The 20,341-nt window shown below is 40.6% G+C and overlaps 1 protein-coding gene, 1 long non-coding RNA gene and 1 other non-coding gene across 4 annotated transcripts in view; 1 reads left to right on the top strand and 2 right to left on the bottom strand.

Moving 5' to 3' along the window:
- The window catches only part of LOC124904267 (uncharacterized), a 33,436-nt gene extending 22,288 nt beyond the window's left edge, over positions 1 to 11,148 (bottom strand). Inside the window, exons 1-2 of the long non-coding RNA XR_007066312.1 lie at positions 11,008 to 11,148; positions 1,633 to 1,817 (exon numbers count right to left, since the gene is read on the bottom strand). This is a non-coding gene — a long non-coding RNA (uncharacterized LOC124904267). The remainder of the gene's footprint in view (positions 1 to 1,632; positions 1,818 to 11,007) is intronic.
- The window catches only part of OSBPL1A (oxysterol binding protein like 1A), a 235,780-nt gene that overhangs the window by 60,082 nt on the left and 155,357 nt on the right, over positions 1 to 20,341 (top strand). For both annotated transcript variants that reach the window (XM_017025530.2, NM_080597.4), the window contains exons 6-9: positions 3,413 to 3,498; positions 4,657 to 4,801; positions 18,934 to 18,995; positions 19,098 to 19,142. In XM_017025530.2, the coding sequence (XP_016881019.1) occupies positions 3,413 to 3,498; positions 4,657 to 4,801; positions 18,934 to 18,995; positions 19,098 to 19,142 (338 nt within the window). The remainder of the gene's footprint in view (positions 1 to 3,412; positions 3,499 to 4,656; positions 4,802 to 18,933; positions 18,996 to 19,097; positions 19,143 to 20,341) is intronic.
- Positions 15,997 to 16,068, bottom strand: MIR320C2 (microRNA 320c-2). The gene has a single exon (NR_031724.2). It is a non-coding gene; the product is annotated as a microRNA 320c-2 (primary transcript).

Here is a 20,341-nt window from a genome sequence, read left to right as displayed (position 1 = left end):
TGTCCAAATAATGACCTTTGTAGCATTTTCCCCTCCCATCCTGGATTAGATTCTAGGATCTAATCCAGAATCCCACATTGCATTTAATTGTGACATCATCCCTTTCATCTCCTTTTATCTGAAACAATTCCTCAGCCCTGTTCTTGATACTGACTTTTTTTTTTTTTTTTTTGAGACAGAGTTTCACTCTGTCACCCAGGCTGGAGTGCAGTGGTGTGATCATAGCTCACTGAAGCCTTGCATTCATGGGCTCAAGCGACTCTTCTGCCTCAGCCTCCCAAGTAGTTAGGACTATAGGCATGCACCACCATGCCTGGCTTTATGTTATGTTATGTTATGTTATGTTATGTTATGTTATGTTATGTTAATGTTATGTTTATATTATGTATTACTTTATTTTATTTTATTTTGATAGAGAAAAGGCCTCAATATATTGCCCAGGCTGGTCTGGAGCTCCTGGCCTCAAGTGATTCTCTTAATTTGGCCTCCTAGAGTATTGGGGTTAACAGGCGTGAGCCTTGCCACCTGGCCGATATTGACCTTTTTGAAGAGGAAAGCGGTTATGGAATTATTTGTAGAATGGCCCTTGATTTTGGTTTTTCTCTTGTGATTAGATTCAGGATATGTATTTCTGTCAGAAGCATTATGTAGGTGAGTTTCTATCCCATGCCAGTGCATCCTATTAGGAGGCACATAATGTCACTTTGTTTCATTATTGGTGATGTTAACTCTGATCACTTTGTGGTCCACTGTAAAGGCATCTTTTCCCTTTGTAATTAATAAATGACCTGCAGGGAGAAAAACTGAGACAAAGTAAATACCCCATTTACCACTAAACTTCTACTCAGTGGTTTTAGCATTCATGGATAATATTTGCCCTAATCATTGATTACTCTAGTGGTTGCAAAGTAATGTTTTGCTATCATGAATGAAATATATTTTCCAGGTGCTCTCCTGCATTTCAAGTGTACTACTATTCAGCCTATTCTCTGCATGTATGTAAGCATCAGTCAGGACAGAGGTAGACTTTGTGACCTCTAAGATCCTCACTAACTTGATTCTGATGGAAAAGAAAGACAGTTTAGAGTGATACTAAATTTAAATCTTATAGGACAAATATTTTTTGGATTTGTAGCATTTGCTTTAGGAATATTTATTGAGATATAAAGTATATGCAGAAAAGTTCACATCATGAATGTATAGCTCCTTTAGAACGATTTCTGTAGAACACATCTCTGTAAACAGCATCCATATCAACATTGCGAGCATTCTAGAAGCCTGACCACCCAGACTAGAATATTTGTTTTCATTGATGTAATCAGCAGTTTTATTTCAGTGTCCTGAAAGAATACAGGACAGGAACATAATCTAAGAACATATATAGTATTTTCAACTCCATATTCCTGACCCTTTTCCTTCATTTATGAGCCTAGACAACCTAGAAAGAAACAATAGGGTATCTTTTCTTTTCCTTCCCTAAAACCTGGGACAAACATTAAGCATTATTTGAATATTCAACACGTATTTATTGACCAACTATGCATCGTGCCAGATGCTGTCATAAATGCTTTGGTTACACAGACAGATAAGAACAAGTACCTGACTTCAAGAATGACAGAGGGGATAACTTACAGGTCAGGGTGATACATGCAGTGGTGGAGGTATGTACGAGAGGTATAGGAGATGTCACTGTTCTCAAAGAGTTCCTAGTTCAGCAGCCATAGAACCAGTGGGAGGAAAGATTGAAGGTAGTGCATCCCAGCAGCAGAAGCCATGGACAGTCTACAGAGAGTCTTGGCTGTCTTCTGAGGTAGAGTCTGGGTGTGGAAATAAAAATGTGGGAAAAGAAGATGATGGTATATAGCAATGTTAGTCATTTCTTAAGACAAAGGTAAACTAATTTCAGCAGTTGCTGGATTCAATACATGTGTTCCCTGTAGTTTAAATGCAATGGTACGTGTAGAGTCTTAAACAGCATTTAGCACATAGTGATTACTGTTAACAAATGTTCATCTGTTTCCCCAGTCACCTGGCTCCCCAACCTGCTTCTCTGTCCATGACTTGACTTTAGTCAGGATGACCTGAAAAACCTTTCATAGTTCCTCCTTTGCAGCCTCTGCACAGGACATTGTAGACGTATATTTAGTGGGATCACCAAGTCGTTCTCTGAAATTGCTTCCTTTCTATAAACCAAAATAGAATTCAGATCTAGCAGAAATTAGATCTTACCGACATATTCCATTCTCTCACACAAATCGGATTGCCAGTTGCTCTTTTCCTGTAAGTATGACTTCAGAGGAAGCGTAGTGATAAGAGCATGGACTCTGGAACTAGCCTGCTTGAGTTCAAATCCCAGCTCCTCCACTCTGATTGTGTGACCTTGGTTAAATTCCATAACCTCTTGGTGCCTCAGTTCCTTTGTCTGTAAAAATCAATATAATAACAACACCTACCTCAGAGTAGTTAATGAGGATTTAATGAGTTAGTATTTTTAAGGAGCTTTGAATAGCACTTGGCATGTAGTAAGTGCCAAAGTATTTTTAAAGATATAAAAATAGGCAAGGTGGCTCATGCCTATAATCTCAGTGCTTTGAAAAGTCGATGCAGGAAGACTGCTTCAGGCCAGGAGTTTGAGACCAGCCTGGGCAACACAGTAAGACCCCCATCTCTACAAAAAATAAAAATATTCACCAGGTGTGGTGGTGCACACCTGTGGTCCCAGCTACTTGGGAGGCTGAGGCAGGAGAATTGTGTGAGCCCAGGAGTTTGAAGCTGCAATGAGCTATGACTGTGCCACTGCACTCCAGCCTGGGCGAGAGGATGACAGGCTTGGTGATCCCACTAAATATACATCTACAATGTCCTGTGCAGAGGCTGCAAAGGAGGAATTATAAAAGGTTTTTCAGGTCATCCTGGCTAAAGTTATGGACAGATGACTTTCTCAACATATATACATACATACATAAATTTTATATTTTTATGTGGCAATTTATAAATAAATTGGTATGTCTGCATATATTTATACGACATGTACATCTTTCTATCAGTGCTATTTCTTGTTATTTTTCACATTCTAAGGTTCTAGAAGGTATGAACCCCACTTACCTACCTTTCCAAGGCAAATATGTAATAGTGTTTCGGTACATAAAAGTAATCCATAATTAGTTTTGATGGTTATTGTTAGTGAGTAAAATACTTAAAGACTTCTGAATTGAAAACCCAAATTCATCCAAACCTGAAATAAATAGAATTCTGTAATCTGAATTGTAAGGTAATAACAATAAATTTTAACTGCATTTGAATTACAATCCAAAACATTTTGGTTTTTCTCATCATGATCACTTTATTCTTTATAATGAATTTGTAATTGGATCCTGACTAGCAGTGGATAATAAGTACTTTTCTTTTGCAGCTGTAGAAAGGACTCAACAAAGAAAGCTTGAAGAATTACTTTTAGCAGCAGCAAGAGAAGGCAAAACAACAGAACTCACAGCTCTGGTAAAACAAACAAAAAACCCCCAAAAGACAAAAAGCAGTCTTTCTTTACACTTCAGGAAAATTTTTACTTAATGTTAAGTAAATAATTTAGTTGAATTGTGGAACCAAGAACTCCAGAGATCATAATAGTAGAACCAAAGTTCTTAATATCTAAAAACACTCAGCATGGTGATAGTTTAAGCAGGACACATTTTAAATGGTGATATTTTTCTGAATTTCTGATTTACACCCACCCTAATCCCCCTGAAAACCTGATGGATAAGAATCTGATTTTTCATGGTAAATAGTTAATGTAAGGACAACTTATATATATATTACATATATTTTGTGATTAAGCCAATTGAAACATAATAAATAGGACCCTATAAAGGAATAAGTTTTTCTAGTTTTGATCAGCAGTAGTTTCTGGGAGGAATGCTACACTTCTGGAAGGTACTATGCAAAGAAGGGACAGTATTTTGGAATACTTATACCACATTAGACTGAAAGGTTTGCCTGTTCCCCGCCACCTTAGAAGACCTACTTTCCAGCTTCCATTCCTGCACAGTCTCATTAAACATGAAACTCTAAATTTGTTCTGAATTCATGACTGAAGCACTGCCATTTGCTTTAAAGTTATTTCAGCTCATTTGAAAGGGCCTCTTTGGTTTCTAAGTATAGCACCTAAAGCAGTTTTTAAATTTTGTGAAATGGAGGCTATATAAAGAAGCTTCTAAAGCAATAAGTTGGGAACAACAAATTCAGTAGAACCTTGACATTTACACATTTAACATTTATGGTTTTAACTCTTCTGAAGGACTGGCAGACTGATTTGTAATTCTGCTGTCACAAGTATGAATTGCAAGCCTGGTAGGGGCATGTAAATCATTGTGAAATCTTAGTGTCTGAGGTGTGTGAGATGGTGCTGGCACAGTGCAGAGTGTCTCTTGTCAGAGGAGTGTGAGACCCGGACACAGGCCTGAGATCTATCTCAGGGCATCTGAGAATAAGCATGGGTGTGGCAGGGTTGGCTGGTTTAGTGAGCAAGAAACCACTAACAGCCTGGATGCCAAGGAGCTTGGCTATTCTTCGGGCTCTGCTGATACACCCTCCTGTGAATTATGAGAGGAAAGTCTATCTTTGATATATAATTCTGCATTGCATTTTTTTAATTGTTAGCTCAACAGGCCCAATCCTCCTGATGTTAACTGTTCGGATCAGTTAGGAAATACACCCTTGCATTGTGCAGCTTACCGGGCCCATAAACAATGTGCCTTAAAGCTTCTAAGAAGTGGAGCAGACCCTAATCTGAAGAACAAAAATGGTAAGCATATTGGTGAAAACCATCGTTGGCCATTTTGAAATTATAAAATGAAGTCAATGCCATATAAAATTGTTTTGTTTCAGTATCCAGCCTTTGTTAAACTGTATGGTTTCTATTTAATTTTGGAGCCAAGGCATTCACACAAAAGAAAAAATGATGACAAAGGTAGATCCTACCCTCAAGGAAAAGATAAGTACAGTTGATTCTTGTTATTTGCAGTAGCTGTATTCTATAAAGTTGCCACCAGCACTGAATTAGGGAACACTGAACTATTGTTCCTAGGGGAAAATACAGGATTAGGTTCCTGCAAGCCTTGGGTCACAACATTTTCATGAATTGATCATTATGAAACCTTTTTTTTTTTTTTTTGCTGTTTCTATTTAATACATATTGTTGACTCATTCACATTGAACTCATAGCCAACAGCATCATAGCTCACTCTTGAGTAAAGTTTTCTTCATAAGGCATATCACAGCCTTTTCCACTGAGGTACATTAGACAGCACTTCAGCACAATGCTAGGGGCCTTTTTTTTTTTTTTTTTTTTTTTTTTTTTTGAGACAGAGTCTCTCTCTGTTGCCCAGTCTGGAGTGCAGTGGTGCCATCTCAGCTCACTGCAGCCTCCTCCTCCTGGGTTCAAGTGATTCTTCTGCCTCAGCCTCCCAAGTAGCTGGAACTGCAGGCATGCACCTGTAGTGTACCATGCCTGGCTGATTTTTTTGTATTTTTAGTAGAGATGGGGTTTCACCATGTTGGCCAGGCTGGTCTCGAACTCCTGACCTCAAATGATCTGCCCACCTCAGCCTCCCAAAGTGCTGGGATTACAGATGTAAGCCACCATGCCTGGCCGCTTGGGGCCATTTTAAACAGCAAAGTCACCAACAAAAAATACAAAAGGTGGAAAGTGTGACCCTAAATAGACCATGACGAGGACATTTGTTTATAGTAGGAGAGCTTCTAGAATGAAACAAGAAGGCCAGGCATCACCTTCTTCTACCTCAGCTGGAAAATGAGCACTGGGCAACCCACATTTTTCACCACTCTGGGCATGTTTGTGAATGACTGAGAAACTACAATGAATATTGACCTTGGGATTACAAGTGAATTTTAGCAATAGCCAGATATGCAAATATGGAATACGTATATAATGAGGATTGACTGTACATGTGTGACAATTTGAAAGACAGAATCAGAAGCCAGAAAAGAAGCTATAAAAGGTGTCTTGGGTATTTAAAAGAGGAACATGCCGCCGGGCGCGGTGGCTCATGCCTGTAATCCCAGCACTTTGGGAGGCCGAGGCGGGCGGATCACGAGGTCAGGAGATCGAGACCATCCTGGCTAACACGGTGAAACCCCGTCTCTACTAAAAATACAAAAAATTAGCCGGGCGTGGTGGCGGGCGCCTGTAGTCCCAGCTACTCGGGAGGCTGAGGCAGGAGAATGGCGTGAACCCGGGAGGCGGAGCTTGCAGTGAGCCGAGATCGCGCCACTGCACTCCAGCCTGGGCGACAGAGCGAGACTCTGTCTCAAAAAAAAAAAAAAAAAGAGGAACATGCCATCAGGGCCTTTTCACATCACTTTTTAGGATGCTTCCTGCTGCCTGCTACCAGCCTGGGTTAGGCCTCATCAGGGGTCCCACAGGACCCTGCGTTCACCTCCATCAGAGCCTAAATCACACCCCATGGTATTTGTTGGCTTATGATGCTATCTCCCATGTGACTGAACTCCTAAGGGCAGGCCTCATACTTCATTGTCTGGTTCACCCAGCACCTAGAGTAATGCATAGCACATAACACCTGGGAAGGGCTGCATGTTTGTTGAAGGTTTGGAGTCATTAGAAATAGTTTCACAGGCCAGGCCGGTGGCTCAAGCCTGTAATCCCAGCACTTTGAGAGGCCGAGGCTGGTAGATCACAAGGTCAAGAGATTGAGACCATCCTGGTCAACATGGTGAAACCCCATCTCTACTAAAAATACAAAAATTAGCCAGGCATGGTGGCGTGCACCTGTAGTCCCAGCTACTCGGGAGGCTGAAGCAGGAGAATTGCTTGAACCCAGGAGGTGGAGGTTGCAGTGAGGCGAGATCATGCCATTGCACTCCAGCCTGGCAACAGAGTGAGACTCTGTCTCAAAAAAAAAGAAATAGTTTCATAAAGGAATAGGTACTTGATACAGATCCTGAAGCCCTACTAGGATTTAAAAAATGTTTTCATTTCTAGGGGCTGGGCACTGTGGCTCACGCCTGTAATCCCAGCACTTTGGGAGGCCGAGGCGGGTGGATCACCTGAGGTCAGGAGTTCAAGTGGTGGCACGTGCCTGTAGCCCCAGCTACTCAGGAGGCTGAGGCAGGAGAATCGCTTGAACCTGGGAGGCAGAGGTTGCAGTGAGCCGAGATTGTGCCACTGCACTCCAGCCTGGGCAACAAGAGTGAAACTCTGTCTCAAAAAAAAAAAAAAAAGTTTTATCTCTAAATACTTTACTTTGTACCTTCATTACCATTATTGTCTTTTTATCTTGAGCCTTTTTGTCTTGATAATAATGGTAGTTAATAACAATACCATTATAATCTAGTAAGATTTTGATAAGCAGGAGTTTGGGAAAGGGTATTCTGAGCAGAGGGAAGATTATCAGAAAAGGTTAAGGTGAAAAATCCAAGTCAGGTATAGGTGAAATCCCCAGTTTGCTGCATCCAAGGGCACATCCAGGGGAGCAGTCGGAGGTCATCCCAAAATTTACACTTGTACAGCAGGGCCATTGAAATGGTCTTGGGTGAGAGGTGATTAGGACCTGAACTTTTTATTTTCAAGGAGCAAGACACATTTATTTCTTAATAATAAAACAAAAATTCTTCAAGCAGATATCATATTCAGTACCAAAAAGCCTCAGGATAAAAAGGTGCCTTAAGCTTGGCATAGCCAGGTTACATTTAAGTACCGTCGTGGATCCACATAACCAATCAGCTTTGAGGAAAATAGTTTTGCCATCACAACAGTTTAAGATAAAAAAATACATTCAATTTAAAATTTATAATGTTATTATAGGAGCTGTCAAATCAAGTGCCTTATGTAGAATAACGGTCTAAAAAATGAGCTTACCATAGTAAGATTTAGAAGATGCTTTCCTTGGTGAATTTGAGTTTTGAAGTTTAGAGACTTTTTTTATACAAAGATATTTGTGGAAGCAAAGGTGAATATTAACTATATGCTACAGTCATAAATCATTAGCCTTCATTGCAAGGCAGGCCAGTGTACCTATGTTTAATTTTATATATTCAGTTAATATATATTTTATATGTAATTAAAATTAACTGGTATGTTATATCCATGGACAACTCAGTGACTTGATTTGTATTACATAAGGCTAGCAGATCATACTGTTCTTTTTTTTTTTTTTTTTGACAGAGTTTCACTCTGTCACCCAGGTTGGAGTGCAGTGGCGCGATCTCGACTCACTGCAACCTCTGCCTCCTGGGTTCAAGCGATTCTCCTGCCTCAGCCTCCTGAGAATCTGGGATTACAGGCATGCGCCACCACACCTGGCTAATTTTTGTATTTTTAGTAGAGATGGGGTTTTGCCATGTTGGCCAGGCTGGTCTCAAATTCCTGACCTCAGGTGACCCGCCCGCCTCAGCCTCCCAAAGTGCTAGGATTACAGGTGGGAGCCACTGCACCTAATGTCTTTTAAAAATTTTCTCCTTAGAGATGGGGTCTCACCCTTTTGCTCAGGCTGGAGTGCAGTGGTGTGATCTTTGCTCACTGCAGCCTCAAACTCTGAGCTCAAGTGACCCTTTTGCCTCAGCCTCCTACGTAGCTGGGACCACAGATGCATGCCACTATGTCTGGCTAGGACCTGAGCTTTATTGACATCAATAGGAGTAGAAAGGAGAAAGAAAATTGGTTAGAGATCCCCTGCTTGACTGGCTGTTATGCTCTAGACTCTCACTGTCTAATAGAAATATGATGGGAGTCACATATGTAATTTTAAATTTCTAGTAGCCATGTTAAAAGTGAAAAAAGAGGTGAAATCAATTGCAATTATGTGTTTTATTTAAAGTAATATATCCAAAATGCCATTTCAACATATAATCGGTAAACAGTAATTATCAGTGAGATCTTACATTCCTTTTTTGATACTAAGTCTTTGAAATCTGGTGTGTATTTCTGCACTTACAGCACATCTCAGTATGGACTAGCCACATTTGAAGCACTGTGTAGCCGTATGTGATTACTGTCCACCATATTGGACAGTGCAGCTCTACACATAATGAACTGTCCTGGAGGCTCTCTGGTTCACTGTGTTGTCCTCACCTTGCACATACTATTCTCTCTGCCAGAAGTGCTCTTGTCTTTCTTGTCCGTCTGGTAAACCCTAGTCTTGCTTTAAGAGCTAGCTCAAACTCTGCTTCCCCAGAGAGCCTTTCCCTGTGTCCCTAAGACAGATACAGGTTCATGGAGGAGGAGAGAATTCAGAAATCAACCCATGTAAGTATGGTGATTTAATTTTCGACAGAGGTGTGAAGACAGTCAATGGAAAAGGATAAACTAAGAGTTACAAAAGCAAATATTGATGTCAAAGTGAGATTTTGGCCAGGTGCAGTGACTCACACCTGTAATCCCAGCACTTTGGGAGGCTGAGGCGGGCGGATCATGAGGTCAGGAGATTGAGACCATCCTGGCTAACAAACCCTGTCTCTACTAAAAAAAAAAAAAAAAAAAAAAAAAAAAATACAAAAAATTAGCCGGGCGTGGTGGCACGTACCTGGTAGTCCCAGCTACTTGGGAGGCTGAGGCAGAAGAACTGCTTGAAGCCAGGAGGTGAAGGTTGCAGTGAGCCAAGATTGCGCCACTACACTCCAGCCTGGGTGACAGAGTGAGACTCCATCTCAAAAAAAAAAAAAAAAAAAAAAAGTGTGATTTCTAGTGTCTTTACCAGTTTGCCAAAGACTTGAGCAGTTTTTCTGTGTGGTATTTTATAATGATTTTTCCTTCAAAAATGTAGATTCAGAAGTGTCCAAATGAAATAAGAATTAATATAGTTCCATACAAATACCAGTCTAAATGGAAAAAAAAAAACTTCCCTTGTAAATATTGAAAAGTTACTATTGGTATTCAAATATATATTTACTCTATAGTTTATACTAGTAACCAAAGTTGAACATTCCTGTTAAAGCTATTAATTTGTTTTTGACAAAAGTCAGAATGGCATCTTCTGAAAGAGAATAATTTAAAAAAATCAGGCCAGGAGTGGTGGCTCAAGCCTGTAATCCCAGTACTTTGGGAGGCTGAGGCAGGCGGATAATTTGAGGTCAGGTGTTTGAGACCAGCCTGACCAACATGATGAAATCCTGTCTCTACTAAAATATAAAAATTAGCCGGGTGTGGTGGCAGGTGCCTGTACTTCCAGCTACTTGGGAGGCTGAGGCAGGAGAATCACTTGAACCCAGGAGACGGAGGTTGCAGTGAGCTGAGATCATGCTACTGCACTCCAGCCTGGGTGACAGAATGAGACGCCATCTTAAAAAGTAAAAAATCAATCAATCAATCAAAGGCTGGGTGCGGTGGCTCACTCCTGTAATCCCAGCACTTTGGCAGGCCATGGCGGGTGGATCACTTGAGGTCAGGAGTTCAAGGCCAACATGGTAAAACCTTGTCTTTACTAAAAATACAAAATTAGCCGGGCATGGTGGAGCACGCCTGTAATCCCAGTTACTTAGGAGGCTGTGGCAGGAGAATCGCTTGAACCTGGGAGGTAGAGGTTGAAGTGAGCCAAGATTGGGCCACTGAACTACAGCATGGGTGACAGAGCAAGACTCCGTTTCAAAAAAAAAAAAAAGAAAAAAGAAAAAAACCATAAGAGCAACATTTACATTATAGAAATTCTTCAAAAATAGGAAAAAAGAAAAAACCCGCAAATTACCCAAGCATAGCCACAGTTACTTTGGCATCCTTCTAATCTATTTTCAGGCCTATTTTAGAACATTTTTTAAAAATTGTAGAACTAATGCTTGTTATAGTTGCAATGAGGAAAACAAAAGCACTAGAAAAGTATATAATCACCTCTAACCCAAACGTCCAAAGATTTAGTTTTTAGTTGTTAATGTTTTAGTTTTAGTTGTTAATGTTTCATAGTAACATATATTTTTTAAAAAGTTTTAAGTAATGATACTACCTCAAGAATATAAGCAAAAGAAAAGTTATACATTACTCACAGACGAATACACAGTCATCTCATGATATTCCAAAGTGGGAAATGGCATTAGGCATCAGATGGGATGGAACTGGGAACCAGAGAACTGTTAGGAACCCAGATGGCTGCCTTGTGTGTCTGTCTCTCACTGCGTGGTCTGATCATGTCTTCTAGCAGACCAGCTGTTTTGTTTTCCAGGATACATAATGGAAGATGGCTGCCCCGTGACTCCACTCAGGAGACCACAATCTCTCAACCTCAATGTTACATTTCAGTGGGAGATAATGTGTTAGTACCTGCTTGTGTCAGGCGTCTGTGCCTAGTGTGGTCACTTGGGACTTTAGGGGCAGGACATATGGTACAGAGGTGACTGCCAAGGCCTCCTCCTGGCAATGTGGATAGGGACAGAGAGGGGTGAATGGATGAGGACTGGCAGACACCTCAGAAAGTGTCTCTTCATTTTAGTTGACAGGTTGTAAATAGAGTTGGCCTGATAAAATTCCACTTTTATGAAGCATCAACAGCTTTTCCACATTGTCCCCAGAAGCACAGTCATCATGGCTCACCTTATGGAAAGTACTTCATGTGGATATAACATAATTTTTTCACTCAAAAGTCTAGTGATAAGAACAATTCTGTATGTTTTTTTTTCTAGAGTGAAAATGTCCTAGTCTTTTTTTCTTTTTTTCTTTTCTAAAAAATAAGGGGCTAGCTATGGTGGCTCACGCCTGTAATCCTAGCACTTTGGGAGGCCAATGCAGGAGGATTGCTTGAGCCCAGGAGTTTGTAGGCTGGGCAACACAGCAAGACTCCATGTCTGAAAAAAAATAAAATTAAAATTAAAAAATAAAAGCAAGGATATTTAAAATTTTTAATCAAATTGGTTAATCCATCTCTTTGATTTCTTCTAAGACTTCTTAGCTTAGGTAGAGATTTGATAAATGTTTAATTTTGTTTCCTCCCAGTTTAATCACATTCATTCATTCAGCAATGCTGCGCCTCCACTGTGTGCCAAGAACCGTCCTAGGTGCTGGAGGCCCAGCAGTGAACACAGCCCAACAGTCCCCGTGCTCTTGAGCTCATATTCTGGTGGGAGGAGGTAGACAACAAATAAATGCATATGTGCTGTCAGGCCATGAGGTGCAGGAAAATAAAATAGGATGAAGGGACTAGAGAGTGATGGTAGGATGGGGGGTATCTTAGAAGGGATGCAAAGGAAGGGCTCTCTAAGCAACTTTGAGCAAACAGCTGAGTTGAGTACAGGAGTGAACCCTGAGGAAGTCTGGCAGAAGAGCATTCAAGGAAAATGGAAAGCCAGTGTAAAAGCTCTGGAGTAGAAGAACACGTGGCACATTGAGGAAAAGGAAAACTGCCAGTGTGCCCAGAGCAGGGCGAGCTGGAGAAGAGTGGATAGCATCAGAGCTGCCAGAGGCCCAGGCCTGCAGGGCCTGGTTGGCTGTGAGCAGGAGCTTGGTGGTATGTGAGTGTGGTTGGAGGGCTTTGAGCAGCAAAGTGAATGTGAGAGTGTGTGTTAGGATGTGGGAGTCTCAACTTGTCCATCCCTTACGTTTATACCCTTTATCAAGTAATCTTTCCTTTTCCATTATTTTGTCATGCCTTTCTTATACATTCTAAGAATTCCTTTTCTTTCTTTCTTTCTTTTTTTTGTTTCGATACTGAGTCTCGCTCTGTCACCCAGGCTGGAGTGCAGTGGCGCAATCTCGGCTCATTGCAACGTCCACCTCCTGGCTTCAAGCGATTCTCCTGCCTCAGCCTCCCGCGTGGCTGGGATTACAGGTGCGCGCTACCATGCCCAGCTAATTTTTGTATTTTTAGTAGAGACAGGGTTTCACCATGTTGGCCAGGATGGTCTCGATCTCTTGATCTCTTGATCTGCCTGCCTCGGCCTCTGAAAGTGCTGGGATAACAGGCATGAGCCACTGCACCTGGCCTCTTTTTTTTTTTTTTTTTTAATAGACAGAGTCTCGCTCTGTCGCCCAGGATGGAGTGCAGTGGTGTGATCTCGGCTCACTGCAACCTCTACCTCTAAGATTCAAGCAATGCTCCCACCTCAGCCTCCTGAGTAGCTGGGACTACAGGCATGCGCCACCGCACCTGGCTAATTTTTTTTTTTTTTTTTTTTTTTTTTTTTTTATATTCATATTCATGTTTTTATTGGGAGTCTGGAAATACGCACCAATGTATACACGTGAGTTATCTATGGGTGAGGGAATTGTTTTATGTGTATGCATGTAGTTTATCTATTTGATATAATTTTTTTTTTTTTTTTTTTTTTTTTTTTAACTTTTTCAGAAAATTTATTGAGAGGGAGGGAGAGGGCAAGACAGAAGCATCTGAAATTTAGTCTTCTGCCTGTGAGGGCCCTCTGGCTGAAGTTCAAAAGGAAAGAGGAGCTTTGCCCAAGGAAAACTATTCAAAACTATGTTTGGTGCACTTGGGAAAGCCTGGTGGTGCATTGTTGGCCCAGAACAGGTTCTCTGGGATTCAAAAGGCAGGGTGAAGCTTTTTTTTTTTTGAGACGGAGTCTCACTCTGTCACCCAGGCTGGAGTGCAATGGCGTGATCTCAGCTCACTGCAACCTCCGCCTCCCGGGTTCAAGCAGTTCTCTGCCTCAGCCTCCTGAGTAGCTGGGATTACAAGTGCTCACCACCACTCCTGGCTAATTTTTTTTTTTTTTTTTACCCAAATGAGTATAAATCATGCTGCTATAAAGACACATGCACACGTATGTTTATTGCGGCACTATTCACAATAGCAAAGACTTGGAACCAACCCAAATGCCCAACAATGATAGACTGGATTAAGAAAATGTGGCACATATACACCATGGAATACTATGCAGCCATAAAAAATGATGAGTTCATATCCTTTGTAGGGACATGGATGAAATTGGAAACCATCATTCTCAGTAAACTATCGCAAGAACAAAAAACCAAACACCGCATATTCTCACTCATAGGTGGGAATTGAACAATGAGATCACATGGACACAGGAAGGGGAATATCACACTCTGGGGACTGTGGTGGGGTCGGGGGAGGGGGGAGGGATAGCATTGGGAGATATACCTAATGCTAGATGACACATTAGTGGGTGCAGCGCACCAGCATGGCACATGTATACATATGTAACTAACCTGCACAATGTGCACATGTACCCTAAAACTTAGAGTATAATAAAAAAAAAAAAAAAAAAAAAAGAAAAAGCCTCACCCTGGCTGGGTGTGGTGGCTCACGCCTGTATTCCCAGCACTTTGGGAGGCTGAGGTGGGTGGATCACGAGGTCAGGAGTTCAAGACCAGCCTGGCCAAGATGGTGAAACCCCGTCTCTGCTAATTTTTGTATTTTTAGTAGAAATGGGATTTCATCATGTTGGCTGGGCTGGTCTCGAACTGCTGGCATCAAGCGATCCACCCACCTCAGCCTCCCAAAGTGCTGGGATTACAGGCATGAGCCATGGTGCCCAGTCTCTTTTTGTATTTTTTATTGTTTTTTATTCACTCATCTGTCTCTTCTTTCGACAGTATCGCATTAAAAAAAAGTTTTTAAGATAGTATTGCACTTTTAATGGTTATAATGTTTTAATATGTGAGATTTCCCCTTACCATTTTTAAGGATTTTCTTTGACATCCTTATCTGTTTATTCTTCCAGAAGGCATTTAAAATAATTTTCTGAGGCTCTTCATTGGGATTTAATTGAAATTACATTCTATGTAAATTAATTTAAGGAGAATTGGCATCTTTATTAAATTTTCCCATTAAGGGACAAATCTGTGTCATGCAAACTTTTAAATATTACATCATTCCTGTTTTTCACTTTATTTTGTTGTGGTTGGTAAGAGAGATAGTGTATTTTTTAACTGGTGGTGGAACCCATCTAGATTCCATCTAGGAGGCTATTTCATTTAGTTCAAAAGCATTTTATTGAATTCTTACTGTGTGCCAGGCATTTTAGACATCAAATCCAGAAATGAGGTCTCTCTTCTGGAATTTCATCTAGTTGGCAGGAGTTCAGAATTTATTTTTGGTATTAGGGCAGAATTCTATGAAAGAAATCATAGTGTTGTCTTTCTCTCTGCCTAAAGAAATAATTTCTCCAAAGTGCCCTGTAGGTAGAATGAAAATAACACAGAATTGGCAGACCTCTATAAGGCATTTTCCTATGTGCTAGGCAGAAAAACTAAACTGAGTATTAATTTTTTGGTTAATGTTTTAAAAAGTTTTTTCCCCACTAAAGAAGTAATGTATCACCAGCCCCAGGTTCCCCATCAGCAGCTCTATAAATCTTCCTCCAAAATAAATCTTAAAGCCACATACAAGGCCGGGCACGGTGGCTCACACCTGTAATCCCAACACTTTGGGAGGCCCAGGCGGGCAGATCACGAGGTCAGGAGATCGAGACCATCCTGGCTAACACAGTGAAACCCCATCTCTACTAAAAAAAAAAAAACAAATACAAAAAATTAGCCGGGCGTGATGGTGGGCGCCTGTAGTCCCAGCTACTCAGGAGGCTGAGGCAGGAGAATAGCATGAACCCGGGAGGCAGAGCTTGCAGTGAGCTGAGATGGTGCCACTGCACTCCAGCCTGGGCAACAGAGGGAAACTCTGTCTCAAAAAAAAAAAAAAAAAAAAAGTCACATATTTCTCTCTATGTTAAAAATGATCTCCATTTTACTACTGACTTTCTAGTCCAAACCACCAGTATCCTTTACCTGCACTATTGCCATCTCTTTGTAATTAGCCTCCCTGCATTTCTTTTGCCCACGTTTACAAGCCATATTGCACACAACAGCCAGAGTGACCTTTTTAAAAAAAATCATGGAAATTATCAAAGCTTCAGAAATCAAATAGCATAATTAATTGATGTACCCATCACCCTCCTCCAGAACTTAGCAATAATGGCCACTCTGTATCTCTTCCTACTCCCTGAATTCTTGTGAAACAATTCCAGATATCATGCCATCTCTTTTTCTTTTTAAAAAATTTATTTGTTTTTCTTTTCTTACCCTCTCAACCCAGCTTTTCCCAATTCTGGGAAGAACTGGAAAGAGAAGGCCTGTCATGCCATTTTATTCATACATACCCAGTGCTCCTCAACTTACTGTGGGGCCACGTCCTCATAGAACCATTGTAAATTGAAAATACACTTAAGGCCAGGTACAGTAGCTCACACCTGTAATCCCAGCACTCTGGGATGCTGAGGCTGGCAGATCGCTTGAGCCTAGGAATTTGAGACTAACCTGGTGAAACCCCATTCCTACAAAAAAATACAAAAATTAGCCAGGTGTGATGACACATGACTGCAGTTCCAGCTACCAGGGAGGCTGAGGTGAGAGGATCACTTGAGCCCAAGAGGTCGAGGCTGTGGTGAGCTGTGATAGTTGAAAAACCATTAAGTTGAACTGTTGTAAGTTGGGGAACATCTGTAGTCCAGTATATTAGTAAAAAATAAGGACACCCTTTAACAAAAACCACAAGCATGTGATAGTTGCACAACTCTGTGCACCTATAAAAACCATTGAATTTGTGCAGTTTAAGTGAGTAAATTGTATGTTAATTTGTATCTCAATGGGGCTATTAAAAAACATAAGCACAATAGCATTATCCTATTAATAATATTCTAGTAATTTATCAAAATCATGGAACTGCCAAAGTTTGTGTTTTCCCAGTTATTATTATTATTCTTTTCTTTTCTTTTTTTTTTTTTTTTTGAGACGAAGTCTTGCTCTTGTTCCCCAGGCTGGAGTGCAATGGCGCGATCTCAGCTCACTGCAACTCCGCCTCTCAGGTTCAAGTGATTCTCCTGCCTCAGTCTCCAGAGTAGCTGGGATTACAGGTGCCTGCCACCACACCCAGCTAATTTTTGTATTTTTAGTAGAGATGGGGGTTTCACCATGTTGGCCAGGCTGGTCTCGAACTCCTGACCTAAGGTGATCTGCCCACCTCGGCCTCCCAAAGTGCTGGGATTACAGGCATGCGTCACTGCACCCGGCCTATATTATAATTTTTTAACACTTTGACAGAGTTTTAAACATGAGTCAGATCATGTTACTCTTACTTAAAACCCTTCAGTGGCTTTTCATCCTATTTAGAATAAAACTCAAACTCCTTATGCTGGCTTACAAAAGTCTGGCCTACAAACCCCTTGTGTGATGTGGCCTCTGCGTGCCTCTCTGACTTTATCTCTTGCCTGCTGAATTGTTCCTACCTCAGAGCCTTTGCATCAGCTGTTCCTCTGCTAGAATGTCCTTCCCTGTATTTTCACAAGGCTGGATCCTTCTTTTCAACCTAGACATCCCTTCCTCAAAGAGGCCTTCCCTGATCAACCCCTCATCCTCCAATCTAAAGTGGTATCCCAGTTACTCTGTCAAATCATTTATTTAAAAAGTCTGGGCGTACCGTGGTTCATTGTCTGCTGTATCTTTAAGAATTAATTTATCATCTGTCTTTCCCACCTTCTATGCTTTCCCATCCCCCCAGTATTTTTTCTGTTATGTTCACTGCTGAATCCTCAGTGCCTAAAATAGTAATCGGTACATAACAGACCCTCATTAGGGGATATCATACAAAAAAATTGCCAACACATACCAGATGTTTGGTATTTATAAAAATATTATTATTTTAAACCACCCCCAGCCCCCCTTTTTGTTTTTAGAGACAGAGTCTCACTCTGTCACCCAGTCTGGAGTGCAGTGGTAGCTGGGACTGTAGGCACATGCCACCGTGCCTGGCTAATTAAATTTTTTTTTTTTTTTTTTGTAGAGATAAGGTCTCACTGTATTACCCCGGCGAGTCTTAAGCTTCTGGCCTCAAGCCATCCTTCCGCCTTAGCCTCCCAGAGTACTGGGATTATAGTTGTGAGCCACTGCGCCTGGCCTAAAAGGTTATCTGATAGAATATATCACCTTCCTGCATAAACAGTTCCAGAGTTCTCATTGATATGTTGTTTTGAAAGGACTGTTCTAATTTTCATAGGTAGCTTTCATTTCTCTAATAATAAGCTATTTGAGGCTAGGAGATGGTTTGATTTATTTGTGGGTTTTTGTTTGTTTGTTTTTTTACCTTTTGTCCTTCATTTAATGTCCTGCTCACTTCAGAACTCTATAAATAACTTTGATAAGACAAACTCCATTTTTGTTGTTGTTGGGCAAAACATGGAATGTGCATGTGTAAGGTTGGAAAAATTAACATTGATAGCTTGCCGGCTTTATTCTCCATTGTCACCTTTTTCTTTTGTCCTAAATTGTGGACCATCACACCCTCAGCTTGTGAGCCATCTCTGCTACCCATTATGCAGCGAGACGGCTGAAGCGTGGCTGTGGTCGGCTAAAGAGTGGACCCCAAATTTGTGATTAGTTAGGTATCTTGAGATGAGGGGAAATCCTGAATTATCCAGGTAGATCTATGTAGTTACAAGGCTCCTGATAGGAGGGAGGGCTATAGAGAGAGAGAGAACAGAATGCTGGAAGCAGAGGTTGGAATGATGTGCTTTGGAGATGGAGGAAGAGACCCCATGTCAAGTCAGGTAGTTGGCCGCTAGAAGTGGAAAAGGCAAGGAAATGTCTCCCTTAGAGCCTCCAGAAGGAATGCAGCTCTGTCCACATGTTGATTTCAGCCCAGTGAAATTGATTTCAGACTTCTGATCTCTGAAACTGTAAGATAATAAATTTGTATTGTTTAAGCCACAAATTTATGAGTTCATGATAATTTGTTGTGAAGTTAATCTGATTTGCTGGCTTAATAGTTAGCGACCAAAAGGGAGGCCATAAATAATTGAGATGGCAACCTCTCTCTGGTAGGTAATTTTCTGGGGAAAGAAAAAGATATAGGCAATAGAAAAATGAAGGACTATTAGATGCTGCAGTTACAGCATTGATTGTCATAGTACATTTAAGCTGTTGATGGCTTTTTTTCTTTGTATTTTGCACAGATCAGAAACCTCTTGACCTTGCCCAGGGTGCTGAAATGAAACACATTCTTGTTGGTAATAAGGTACAGAGTAATGAATTAAATTTATCTAATAATTTTTAGAAAAAAATTTTTGAATGTTTGAAATATGTAGATGCATTTTTCATGAAAACATGTTTTTGACAGGTCATCTACAAAGCATTGAAACGATATGAGGGCCCTCTCTGGAAGGTAAGTTGAGGTGGTTTTTTAATTATATAACTGTAAAGAATAATTCTCAGGTGCTCTATTTCTGTTTAAAACTTTTAAAAAATCATTTCTGAAGTATATGTGATTTAATCGCTCTTGGATCGTATAATGTAAACCACTGATTTTTTTTTTTATTTTTAGTTATTGAGACAGAGTCTTGCTCTGTCACCCAGGCTAGAGTGCAGTGGTATACTCACTGCAACCTCCACTACCTGGGTTCAAGTGGTTCTCCTGCCTCAGTCTTCCAAGTAGCTGGGATTATAGGCGCCCGCCACCGTGCCTGGCTAATTTTTGTGTTTTTAGTAGAGACGAGGGTTCAACACCTTGGCCAGGCTGGTCTTGAACTCCTGACCTCGTGATCCACCCGCCTTGGCCTCCCAGAATGCTGGGATTACAGGTGTGAGCCACCGTGACTGGCAAGCCACTTTTATACTACTGGATTTCAAGAGGCTTCCACTGGTTGTAGCCATTACTTTTCTGTGTGTTGATGGTCCCTTTTAGGTGTTTTTTTGGTGTTGATGAGTCACTTTTAGGTGACTAAGTTTTTATGAAAAGGAGTGGGGGGAAAATACATTTTTTTCTTACTAGATCAAAGAATTACAGTATTATTTTTGTTATGAACATCAAACCATGGAAGACTTAGAAGAAAATTAATATTTGAATTATCACATGGTACATATATAAAATTTTTCCAGTCCTAACAGTTTCTACATTTTGGAGAATCCTGTTTTCTAGAATTAACCTTGAAGAGCACATAATTTCTTTTGCATTTGCAAGCAATCCCTTAATCTATTTATGTATCTGTATGCTTATATTGTATAAGATAAATTTAGGATAATTTTCTTTTTTAGACATTCATTCATGACTTTGAGGAAATTGTCTTTGAAGCCCACAACTGGTATATTTTCTGTAAATAATCCCTGAACAGTTTTGTCAGAACCATAAACTGTAATCATCATTGATCTTATCAGTATGGCATTTCTGCTGTTCCTGTCACCCTGTAGTGGTATGTTTTCATTACTGCACTTAGTACCTAAGTTCATGTTTGATCATTTTTTTTTACTGTTCAGTGCTACTGTCTAAAGACTCAAATATGACTGTCCTCACTTAATTACTTTTTATCAGTCAAGCATTTGAATCTAGATGTGTCAGCTTGGGAAATCTTTGTTATTTTTCCCTTA

Source organism: Homo sapiens, chromosome 18 (genome assembly GCF_000001405.40).
Source record: "Homo sapiens chromosome 18, GRCh38.p14 Primary Assembly".
Taxonomy (NCBI): Eukaryota; Metazoa; Chordata; class Mammalia; order Primates; family Hominidae; genus Homo; species Homo sapiens.
This window is presented reverse-complemented; position numbering and strand designations above follow the sequence as displayed.